At 45.5% G+C, this 12,648-nt stretch overlaps 1 long non-coding RNA gene across 4 annotated transcripts; it reads right to left on the bottom strand.

Annotated features, from left to right (window-relative positions):
* LOC105377939 (uncharacterized) lies at positions 6,631–12,577 on the bottom strand. 4 transcript variants are annotated; one of them, XR_007059704.1, is made up of 4 exons: positions 12,500–12,577; positions 11,428–11,824; positions 6,866–6,952; positions 6,631–6,752 (listed from the first exon to the last, which is right to left on the bottom strand). It is a non-coding gene; the product is annotated as an uncharacterized LOC105377939 (long non-coding RNA). The 4 variants fall into 4 exon arrangements; XR_942862.3 differs by having other exon boundaries at positions 6,631–6,952; XR_001744292.2 differs by lacking the exons at positions 11,428–11,824; positions 12,500–12,577 and adding exons at positions 7,933–8,032; positions 8,368–8,831 and having other exon boundaries at positions 6,631–6,952.
* Positions 12,578–12,648: the final 71 nt, after the last annotated feature.

Below are 12,648 nucleotides of genomic sequence, written 5' to 3'. Positions count from 1 at the left end.
ATTAAAGAAAAAAAGAGAATTTGAGAGCAGCTTAGTTGGATGGTTCTGAATCAGGGAATCTCATGAGGTTGTAATCATGATTGTCAGTTGGGGCTTCAGTTATCTGAAGCCTTGACTGGGGCTGCAGAATCTGCTTCCAAGCTCACTCATGTGCATGGCTGTTGGCAGGAGGCCTCAGTTCCTTGCCATGTGGTTGTTTATAACACAGCAGCTCACTTCCCCCAGAGCAAGCAACCTGAGAGAGAGAGACAGAGAGGGCAGGGCAGGGGAGCATGAAGTCTCTGATGACTTAGCCTTGGGAGTGACAACCATCACTTCTACTGTGTTCTATTGGCCACACAGACCAACCCTGAGTCTATGTGGAAAGAGACTACTCAAGGGCATGGACACCAAGAAGGAAGTTCATTAGGGGCTATCTTGGAGGCTGTTTCCACCAGGAAACATAAGACCCTGGCTCAAACCCACTTGAGGGATGGAAAAGGAGGGGAAAGAGTCTCAAAGGACTCCAGCCTGGAGCCTGGAAATTGAGGGGTCTCCTTTTCAAAAAGGCCTTTCTTGACTACTCTGGCCAAACACTGCCCACCACCCTCACATCACTCTCAGGTTATCCCATATACATTCTTTGCACTTTTCACTCTGAAATTGCCTTTCTTGCAGATTTGTTGTATCTTTCCCATTAGGAAATAAACTCCTTATGAGCTGGGAGCCTGCCTTGTTCATGCTGTGTTCCCAGTACCTAGTATGGTGCATGACATGTAGTGGGTATCAATACATATATATCTAATGAACACATGAATGACACCTGGGGGAAGGGACACGACCCTTTGCCTAGGGGTGGGAGTTTGCACTTTGCACAGGGATGGGGCGAGTGGGGCTGAAATCCAGCTGGCGCCCTGCACTGAAGTCTTGTCCTGGGACAAAGCCTTCCTCCACTGAATACCCGAGTCCTCTCAGCTGGGTCTGCCTCAATCCTACAAAAGGGCCATATGTGCTAGCAGAGGTAGGGGGATCCTGCCAAAATGTTGGGGTGGAGGCTGCAGTCCATAGTGCTATCCCAGAGATCTTTTTATTCTTATTTTTTATTTTCGGAGACAGGGTCTTGCTCTGTCACCCAGGCTAGAGTGCAGTGGAGTGATCATAGCTTGCTGCAACCTTGAACTCCTGGGCTCAAGAGATCCTCCTGCCTTAGCCTCCCCAGTGGCTGCGACTATAGGCGCATTGCACCGCACCTGGCTCAGAGATCTTTCTGAAGCTCACTCTACTTTTCCTGTGGTTCTAGCCCTTTCCTTCCTGTTTGAGGCTCCCTTAGGGTATAAAAGTCACTCTGCAGCGTCTCCTCTAGAGTAAATAAACAATTCTCTTGAGGTCCTTTTCTGCCCCAACCATTTCACCTTCTCTGTGTCTTTATGAGCTTGACTTAACAGGAAGTTCACCTTCTGGCTTCTGTTAAATAGTATTGTCTGGACTGACAGCCTCCGCTTTGCTGAGTGTAGAACCCAGAGGAAGAAGTGGACACTCTAGTTTGAGTTTGGCCATTAAAACAGAAGGAACATTGATCAACACAGGACCTACTTCATTTCATAGCAGCTACACACAGTCGTGACAATTGCTTACCTTTCTATGGTGGTTTATGGTTGTAAACAGCTTTTCCATACTTCAATTCTCAACAGGAAACTGTCATTACCACTAGCTAAAAAGCATTTACTGAGCACCTGTTGCATGCAGAAGGTGCTGTGATAGGGAATATAGTTATGACAAGAGAGATGATAAGTTATTTATCTCCCAAATTTATTGTTAGGTAAGAAATGTGAGGAGCAGAACACTGGGTATGGTAAATTTCTATTTGCATAAAAAAAGTATTATACAAGGAAACATGCTCTCACCTGGCCAACAGAAAGGTGGCTGTTTCTTGAGAGGCCTCACAGGATAGTATTACTGGTGAAACAACCACAGCGCAGGGGCTGGCCTTCATTAAAAATAAAAAATAGATGTATATATATTTTTATATGGCTTGGTATCTTCGGGAGAATACACAAGAACCTGACTACTTTGGTTACCTTTGGGTGGCTGGGATGAAAAGTAAACTTACTTTTCATTGTATTCTTTTGTACCTTTTGAATTTTGTACCACACACGCATATGAAAACATAATAATGTGTAATTAAAGGAAATGATGAGATTTAAAAATAGAGCATTGTTAAAAGCCACATAATCTGTAAAGTAGAATATGTAATGTAGATATTTTTGTCTCTAAAAATGTTGTGGGCTGGGCACGGTGGCTCATGCCTGTAATCCCAGCACTTTGGGAGGCCGAGGTGGGCGGATCACGAAGTCAGGAGTTTGAGAACAGCCTGTCCAACATGGTGAAACCCTATCTCTACTAAAAATACAAAAATTAGCCAGGTGTGGTGGCGAGTGCCTGTAGTCCCAGCTACTCGGGAGGCTGAGGCAGGAGAATTGCTTGAACCCAGGGGGACAGAGGTTGCAGTGAGGTAAGATTGCACCACTGCACTCCAGCTCTGGGTGACAGAGCAAGACTCTGTCTCAGAAAGAAAAAAAATTGTTGTGGTTTGTGTCTTTTAGTAACTTTACTGGAGTGATTAACCAAAGCAAAACATGTAGGTATTTGCTTCCTCTCTGTCTGGGCCTCTGCCTTGGCCACTTGGGCTTCCTAACAGCATGGCAGCTGGGTTCCAAGAGTAAGTGTTCCAAGAGGCCTGGAAAGGAAGCTGCAGGGTTTCCCGTGATCTAGTTTCAGAAGACCTATGCGGTCATGCGCACCACATTTTATTAGTCAAGTAAGTCACTAAGGCCAGCCCAGATTTAAGAGAAGGCAAATTAGGTGCACCTTTCAGTATGAAAAGTTCCAAAGAGTTTGTGTCCATCCCTAATCCGCCACACACAGAAGCAAAAGCAAGCATGCAAACAAACAAAACAGAGGACTAACACAGTGTTGCCAGGTTTTATTTTGAAAAATAGAAATATTAAAAAGCAACACCAAAAAATGTTGTCATCCACTACCACATTGTCACATCTGTTTCTTAAAAGTACTTTTCTTCCACCAAAAAAAGTAGAAAGGACATAGTTCCAGAACAAATGGCAGTTCTTTAAATAGAACAAATTTAGCTTAATGAAAAACTTGCTATGCTGTACTTATTTTTTCTCATTTCAGACCAGGTAGAAAACTAGGTCATGGAGAAATTGTCCATTGGCAAACCACCAGGTGCAAGGCATGAGCACCTCCGCAGTGCCGAGCAGCAGTCCTCTACTGCTGGTTTGCATCCAGGCTCTCCATGAAACCTGTGTTCTGTTGGCTTCTGGGATTTACCTCCCTACTCAGCTCCCAGTTCCCAGGGAGGTGCCAATGGGCTCGTAGGAAGAAAGATCTGCCTGCTGTCTAGGGTTTCCATGGCATCACACTGATGGGGATTTTTTTCTGACATCGTCAGGCTTTCTGGCCCAGGTCGGGCTTCTTACACTGTGGCTTCTGCTCTGTGGGCTGGGCTATTCTGGCTCTGCAGGTCTGGACAAGAATTAGTGACCATGGGCCTGACACAATGGGAAGCCTGCCCAAGACCACCACCATCACCCCCTCTGAGCATATCAGAATCACTGGGGGAAGCTTTTCAGCACCAGCCTCCACTCTCCTTGAATTCCTGGCACCTCTTCAGTGTGGAGCCTAACAGGTCCCACAGTGGGAATGTCGTACTAGATTAACAAGCAACCTTTACTTGGTCCTCTGGGACCAAGTGTCTGGAGACCTCTAAGCCAAGCCAATACTGTATTTCTATGCATCGCCCAGCGTAGCTGACTGAAGTTTTACCGGTGGAAGGGAATTGCCTGCTGACAATCAGCTACTCAGATGGCTGAGGATTAATTTTCTAAGTGTGTCTGACCTAGAAACATGTCAGAGGTCGGGAGCAGGAGTGGGTCCAAGCCGGGGAGACTCATACCCTCTGGGTCACATCCTCTCTGCAAAGCCTCAGCATCTTGGGGAAGCAGAGTCCTACTCCACTTTCCCTAAACATTTCCAAAATTCTTTTAAAATTTATTTATTTATTTATTTATTTTGAGATGGCGTCTCGCTCCATCACTGAGGCTAGAGTGCAGTGGCACAATCTTGGCTCACTGCAACCTCCGCCTTCCGGGTTCAAATGATTCTCCTGCCTCAGCCTCCCGGGTAGCTGGGATTACAGGCATGTACCACAACACTCAGATAATTTCTGTATTTTTAGTAGAGACGGGGTTTCACTATGTTGGCCAGGCTGGTCTCAAACTCCTGATCTCAAGAGATCCACCCACCTTGGCCTCCCAAAGTGCTGGGATTACAGGTGTGAGCCACTGTGCCCAGCCCATTTCTTAAATTCTTGATGCAGAGGGAGGAACTAGTGTCTACTGCTCACCCTACAACTTTTAGGTAAATAGTTGTCTCTTAGAGAAAGGACCTCAAAATGGACTTTTGTTTATTAAAGGTATAATTGGATAAAAGGGCCAACTAGAAACAAGAGTTATGCATCTAGAAACCAGAGTCATGTATCTATTCACTCCAGGGGTGACAGCAGATCTCTTGGGTGTTTCCCCAACAGCCCTGATATCAGACATCAGGAAGCAGGACAGGGTCACCTTCCCCATTTAGCGATGCCTCTAAGAAGCAGGTCGGCCCAAGCATGGGCAGGCATAAAGCCCTAGATTTGCAGTGAGCACAAAGAGTCAATTCAACAGCCCACAGAGCTCATCCTCTGTAACAGTCCTAATTAGAAACATTATACATAAGGAGAGGAAACAATTTACACAGACTCCAGCATGAGCTCATGGCAATAGCTTGTTTTCCAGCTCCAGCCCCGAGGCCATAGACACACACCTCTGAAAAAATAATGCATAGGTATTTCCAAGACTGATATTTTCAGATACTGCAGAAAAACGTGGCGGTTAATGATGTGCTGTAGCAAAACCGTCTCCATTGTGACTCCGTCTCTCCTTCCCCTTTTACCACCCCTGTTGTCTGTCTTGGTGTTAGGATTTTGTTAGTAGCTTAATATTTCAAAAAATAATTTACAACATGTTCCTTCTTTTCTGTTCTCACATAAACTTGAGATTTAAACATTTTTTCCATCTGCTTTTTGTTCCTTTCCACTGGGCAGCCCCTAGTGATGTTTCCTATGCTTCACGGAGCAGAAATTAGCATGCATTTCTGTTTACCAGGGATGCTGCGCCTGGTGGAACAGTCTCGCCGGCGTGTTACTGAGCATTTACATTCATTACTACTTAACTGTTGCTAGGGGAGCCAGATAGAAAAAGACAAAAGGCACAAATCACAGCGTCTCACTGATATTTTACCGTCAACACTCTTTCTCTTCTCTCATTTGGAGCAGGAGTTTTTTTCTCTCTCTATAGTCTTTTGGTCTGAAATTCTTCATCCTGGTTTCAGGGGATTCATAGAAGATGTCAACTGACCTTCCATATAACCCACACCTTGCTTATAACCCCCATATATCTCCTCCTTTTTTCTGCCCTCCTGCTCTGGTTTCCCTGTGTACTTACAACAGCTGGTGGGTAAGTTGTGGTCTGTGGTTCCACATTGTCTGGGTTTGAATCCCTACTCTAGTTGTGTGATCTTGGGTTAGTTCCTTAGCTTCTCTGAGTGGGCTTCTTCCTCTGTAAGATGGGGGATATGCTTGTCTCAGCCTCAAGAGATTGTTACGAGCATTAAATGAGGCTCTGCATGTGAAGAGTCTAGTACACAGTACGGATTCAATAAACCACCTTTATTCTTGTCATCAGTAGTCTCATGGCTATCTTCAAGCTTGTCCAACCCATGGCCCACGGGCCACATGTGGCCTAAGATGGCTTTGAATGCAGCCCAACACAAATTTGTAAACTTTCTTAAAGCATTGAGATATTTTTGCAATTTTCTTTTTTAGCTCATCAGCTATCGTTAGTGTTAGTGTATTTTATATGTGGTGCAAGACAATTCGTCTTCTTCCAATGTGGCCCAGGGAAGCCAAAAGATTGGACACCCCGTGAGATCTTCTAGGCGACTGGCCCCCAGTGAAATTGTGATCACGGAGGATAGTAGAGTCCCGGTAGTACACATAGGAGATGTTCCACAAACTCCATATGATCAGCACCGTTTTCGGGAGGCCCCACACTGTGCCGAACATCATGAATCAGTGAGGGTTTAGGAAGCACATCAACCTCCCAGTGTTTGGGAGCTGCTGTTTTAAGAAGGTCCCGTTTACCATTCTACTGCCCACATGAAGAGTGAAGACTAATCCGTGGACAGGATGCCTCTCCAGTCTAGCTGTGCCCCGCTCCCTCTTTCTCATCTAAATCGAACCCTTTTCCTGTGGATTGAGATGAAAAGTCCTTGAACGCACCACCTTGTGCTGCTAGGTCAGTCTAGACAATATTAAGTCACATCCATTAAGTTTTCCTTAAAGAAAATGTTTGAAATATTTCTTCCTTCAGTTCGATACTAAGTGTATTTTGCCACAAGACACTTCCTGATGACCCAATTTCAGGTCCCCATTCTTTTATCTATGTGAGAATTCTCCACTTTCAGACTCTGCTTAATTTAACTCTCTCTGAAAATGTGCAAGTTCATAAAAGAAGGTGAAATAATTACTACGGTACATACAAAGAGGTGAACATTTCTTTTTTATGTACAAATTGTGTGTTACCCCAAGTGGACTTTCCTGGGCCCGCCTCCTCCTTCTGTCCCAGGATCCTGGCCCAGCTCTGTCCCCCAATGAACTGCAGAGGTAGAGGGGTAAAGAAGAGCAGTTGAGTGGCTCAGATTGCTGCCTGAACTCTGGACCGAGGAGCAATCACGAGTAACCCCAAAAACTGCCCATTGGTTTGCGCACTCATAGCATGAAAACAAGTTCCGTTCTTTTGTGCTGTCCTGGAACATCAGCCAGCTCTTAAGTCACGTTGCCCGGATTCATGTGCTCCTGCAATGAAAGGCCCTATTGTCAACAAGGCTGGTCAACAAGGCAAAGCAAAGTTTGACCCGTGCATCAAAACCTGGAACATCCTGACTTGTTACGTGCTGAGAAATGTGTGCTTAGTATTGTATTAAAGTAAATGGGGAGGGGCAGTGTCTTTAAAAATACCCAAAGCAAAGAAAAATAGATACTATCTGCTCAATGTCCCAGAGTAGAAGTTTTTAAAATGACCTGAGAAATAGGTTTATTGCTTTCATTGCTTCCTTCCTTCTTCTTCCTCCTTCTCTGACATTTGGCCCTCCTCTCTAAAAACTTCCCCTCATAGTGACCCCAGGCTCCTGTTGGGAAGTCTCACCCACTGTGTGGGTGAACAAGCAAAGCAACTGTTAAAAGTGTTCAGATAACATGGACAAAAAACACATGGAAAAGCTGATATCGAGTTCCATTGGGTTTGGAGTGGTTCTTGCGGGCAAAGGATGCAGTGAGCTGAACATACATTAAAAATACAAACCCTTAAGAGCTGACTGGGTAAGACTTAAGCCCAGTATCTTTCAGAGATGAGTGTCTAGGTGCATCACCCAGATCTTAGCCTGCCTGAGTGTACCAGTGAACCTGCCCAGGTTTTAGTTTCCTTTTCTATAAAATGATAGCTTGGTTCTGATGATCTTCAGGCTCCCTTGGGAGGTCCTTGAGGCTTCAGCTCAAACCCTAGCTCTGCTATCTACCTCTTCTTGGTGCTGAGATTCCATGATATCCTTCAATTATTGTGGGACTGACTTAGTAGAAGGCATCAGAGGGAATGGAAGCCTCTACATTATCAATGCAGAAATTGAGGCAAGAGGCCAACATTATTGCACAAAACATGGCAGATGTTGGAATGAAGAAGACAGTGAGACACAGGCAGCAACAGAGCCTCCTTAATCTCTGACCCAAAAGAGTCTTGACTTGAAGTTCCCCAAGCTCCTTCTTTTCTCCCAGGCACTCACTGCTTTCAAAGCGACTTCAATCTCAAGTTGGGAGATGTGGCCCAGTTCAGGGTCTGCCGCAGACTCAGGCACCATCCCTTCTCCTATCTCAGTTTCTTCACTGGCAAATGGAAGGTATACAATTAGATGATTTTTAAAGCCAAGCTCAGAGCTAACATCCACAATTCCAGGAATTCCAGGAAATGCACACTAAAACTAAGGTTCTGAAACAAGTAAAAAAACAGACCAAATGTTCGAACCAACGATTTTCAGACATTGGAGCACAGGTGGCACAGGAAACAAGTGAGGTGAGTCCTGTGATTGCCCCAGCTTGCTGCCTGGAGAGACTTTCCAGGCCATGGAACAGGGACATGGAATACAGGTGGAGCACAGCCATATCCCTGTGTAGAAGGATGGGGCTGGGGTCCCAGGGACACTTGTGCACCTAGAACTCACAGGAGAGAATACTGGAGAGAAGAAAGCTGCACACGGAGAGAACTCTGGGCTCTGCAGAGTGTCATCTTTGGGTCTTCAGCAAAGTATTGATCAGCACATGCATGTGAGGAAAAGAAATGAGGCCAGAAAAAGAATCACCCAAAAAGATTAGAGGGAACCATTCCTAGAGCTCCCACCAGCCAGAGAATAGCCCCTGTGGCCACCAACCACAGTTGAAAACCTTCTAATTCATCGGGCACTGAGTAGAACACTCTGAGTATTGTCTCAGTAATGCAGCCCAATTCAGCTTACTCTAAAGTCTCCTGTGGTCCCTCCTGACAAGGCTTAAAAGCAAGTCTTGGCTGGCACGGTGGTGCGTGCCTGCAGTCCCAGCTATCCAGGAGGGTGAGGGCTGAGGCAGCATGACGACTGTTCAAGCCAGGAGTTCAAGACCAGCCTGGGCAACATAGTGAGATTCTGTATCTTTTTTTTTTTTTTTTTTTTTTAAAAAAAAAGGCCGGGCACGGTGTGTCAACCCTGTAATCCCAGCACTTTGGGAGGCCGAGGTGGGTAGATCATCTGAGGTCGGGAGTTTGAGACAAGCCTGACCAACATGGAGAAACCCTGTCTCTACTAAAAACACAAAATTAGTCGGGCGTGGTGGCACAGGCCAGTAATCCCAGCTACTCGCGAGGCTGCGGCAGGAGAATCGCTTGAACCTAGGAGGCAGAGGTTGCAGTGAATGGAGATCGCGCATCGCTGTCCAGCCTGGGCAACAAGAGGGAAACTCCATCTAAAAAACAAAACAAACAAACAAACAAAAAACAAGTCATGAAAGGATCGAACTGTTTTCAAGTAAATTAACTGTGTTCTAGAACAACACTCAAAAGTTTTTTTGTGTGTTTGTTTGTTTTTTAAAGAATATCCAGGCCAGGCATGGTGGCTCACACCTATAATCCCAGCACTTTGGGAGACCGAGGAAGGTGGATCACTTGAGGTTAGGATTTTGAGACCAGACTGGCCTCAAACATGGTGAAACTCTGTGTCTTCTAAAAATACAAAAATTAGCCAGGTGTGGTGGGGGAGGTGCTGTAGTCCCAGTTACTCAGGAGGCTGAGGCAGGAGAATCGTTTGAACCTGGGAGGAAGAGGTTATACTGAGCTGAGATTACGCCACTGAACTCCAGCCTGGGAGACAAAGTGAGACTCCGTCTCAAAAAAATAAAAAGAAAAAGAATATCCAGCACTCAGCAAGATAAAATTCAAGCAAGAGAAACATGAAGGAAATTATAACAAGACACATCATAATCAAATTGCTCAATACCAGTGATAAAGAGAAAATCTTAAAATTAACAACAGGAAAAAAATTATGTTAGAAACAGGAGAACAAAGATAAGAATGGCAGCAGAGTTCATGTCAGAAGCAAGCAAGTGAGAAGACAGAGGAACAATAATCTTTAAAGTAATCAGAGAAAAATATTGTCAACCTAGAATTCTAGGTTTTTGGGTGTTTTTTTTTTTTTGTCTTTCACATGAAATGGCCACTAATTCTATACCCAGCAAAAATGTCTTTCAAAAACAAATGCAAAATACTTTTTCAAACATACAAAAGCTTAAAAAATGATCCTCTGAGGACCTATACTATAAGAAATGTTAAGGGATGTCCTTCAAGCAGAAGGACAATGATACCAGATAAAATTCTGGCTCTACAAAAAGAATGAAGAGTTCTGGAAGTGGAACTTCAACTACTCTAAACATGCAACAAGCTATGAATGGGGAGTCTTTCTGTGGAGGCTTCCAGGACCCAAAAGTGAGGACAGAGAAGTACTCTTTGCCTGAGCTGACACCCACCAGAGCTGAGAACCAAGGATTCCTAAGAGGTGACATATGTGGCTGTGTTACCGCCAACTCCACCTTCTACCCAGTAAGACTGGGAAGGAGGGAGAGAGAGAAATAAGTCTAAGGGTCACTGGAGCACAGGACGTGTGAGGAGAGGGGACTTCCTGCCCTTCCTGTGGTTATGGGAAATGGGGTGGCTGTGCTTTCCTCCCTAGTAAGGTTCTAATAAAATGATTCCACAAATATTGGAATGTAAAGTAGCTCCCCTGTTGGACATTTGATTAGGAAAAGGATTTGCTGGCTTATTCATACATCATTAGGGATAGAGGAGGGTCTTGGAGAAAGAAGAAAGGGCACAAAGAAGAGCTGCAGGGGCAGTCTGAACTCACCCAGTTGGTCAGGGCCAGAAAACGCATTTCCTGCAGTTCAAGTGGATGCTACTTAGAAGGCAGCTGGATTTGTTCCATCCCTACCCCAACAGGGTTCTCTCTCCTATTTACCGGGGAGCTCAAAGAGTCCGTAGAGTACATATCCAGTCATGGGAGTTGAGGGGCATGGAGGTGGTTGAGCCTGGATTTACCATATCCGTGCCCTGCAAGTCTCTCTAAAAGAACCCAGATGTGTCTTCCAGAGAAGGCTAGCACGTCGATGCCTGCCTCACAGCCAGTCCCAGTGGGACACCGCTAGAGAGAAGGCTACCACTAGAGAGAAGGCTACCACTAGAGAGAAGGCTACCGCTGCCCTGTTAGTTTACGACCCTCTGCCCTTTCTCTGTCCTACCTCTCAGCCCAGCGCACTAGAGGAACTATTTCCCAAAGCGGAAAGCGAGAGTGGAGGAGTGTCCCAGAAATAGACCTCCCTCATTCAGGGTCCAGGTCCAAGCTTGCACTGGACCGGGAGAGGGCAGTGGCGCTGGGAGATGAGGTGAGAGTAGAATCGTTTGGAATTAATGTTTTAAAGTGGACTGAGGGTTAATACCTGAAAACAGTGGTAAAATTTTGGACCCGCCCAAGATGTAATTAACAGATCTGCTACCCTCTGGATAAGGTTGAGCACATTTGAAAGGGCTTCAGAAAATGAAAAAGCCTTTTCTGTCTTTAAGAAAACAAACAAACAAAAAAAAACAAAACAAAAGAACAAAAAACCTGTCTTCCCCCAACAGGCACAATTACATTTGTAAAGATGGTTCCCAGCAGATGGTGAGGTGCTAATGAGTCCCAGGAGGGGCTCAGGAGAAAACTCACCTTCACCACCTTGCTCCTGGTGACTCCCAGCACACCTGGTCCAGCCTTTCCTCTGCAGCTGTTTTTTAGTGCATGGCCTGTCCTCCTGGAAGGAAAACTGGAGAGCGTGACCTGATCCAGGGAGCAAAGGCTTCATGTGCCCTGTGGCCTTTTTCAGCATGGTTAGCGGGGTGGGACTCTGGGCCCACTCTCAGGTTTGGGGCCATCACTAGGTCCTGGCAGCTGCAGTCCAGGCTGGCCCCACAGGAGGCCACAGGCGGTGGCTCCACCTGAGGAGAAGGTGGCATGTGGGTACCCCACCTGGCTCTCCCGGGAAGGGCCCTTGGCAACATCCGCAGCAGCTTGGCTCCACCCCAGTTGCAGTCTTGACATTTGGTTATTTTCTATTCTTTTTACTCTGCAAATAATACATGTTCGTTATACAATCAGGTAGAATGTACAAATAAGCAAATAAATAAACAAATACTTCTCATAATCTCACTACCAAACAGCCACTGTTAATAACATTTTTGTGTATTTCCTCTAAGATCGAGTATGAAATATTTATATATATACATATATATATGTATATACAAACAAAATGGATTAATATTCCATACGCATATGTGGGACATTTATATTGTTTACAACTTTCTGTTATCTTAAATAAGGTGTGATGAACACCTTTACTCATAATTTTTTGTGCATAATTTATAATTCCTTCGAATAACTTCCCAAAAGGAAGCTATACCAGGGAAGTTGCAAGTTTTTAAACTCTAGTAGCTGAATTTCTAGCTAGTAGTGGTGGAGGAGGAGGACCTTGAGAAGGAGGTGGAGGCATGGGAGGAGCTGGGCCTCAGGGGAGGCTCGGGAGGCTGCTCCTCTCCTTTGCCTCCTTCGGTTTCCCTGTTTAATCCTTCCCTCCGTTCTCAGGCTCCTCTTCCCCTGGTCTTCTCTTTCATCCTTTAATTCCTTCACCCTTTGCCCCTTCTGCTATTTCAACTCTGGATTTTTCCTCCAGTGCTCAAACCTCATTCTGTTCCATTGAATGTCCCTCATTGAATGTCGCTCACTGCTTGGCCTGCCTTCCTACCTGTGTCCCCACCAGGCTCCCTGTGGTGACCCCGTGGTGGCAGCGTGGACTTCCTGCCCTCTCAGGTTTGTGTCCTGCAGGGAAGAGTGAAGGTCTTTTCTAGTGGCTCCCACAATGCCCTAGGGACTCTCTGATTGGCTTGGTGTAGG

The sequence above is a fragment of the Homo sapiens genome, chromosome 6, assembly GCF_000001405.40.
Source record: "Homo sapiens chromosome 6, GRCh38.p14 Primary Assembly".
NCBI classification, from domain to species: Eukaryota; Metazoa; Chordata; class Mammalia; order Primates; family Hominidae; genus Homo; species Homo sapiens.
Note: the sequence above shows the minus strand (reverse complement) of the source record. Positions and strands in the feature narration are given on the sequence as shown.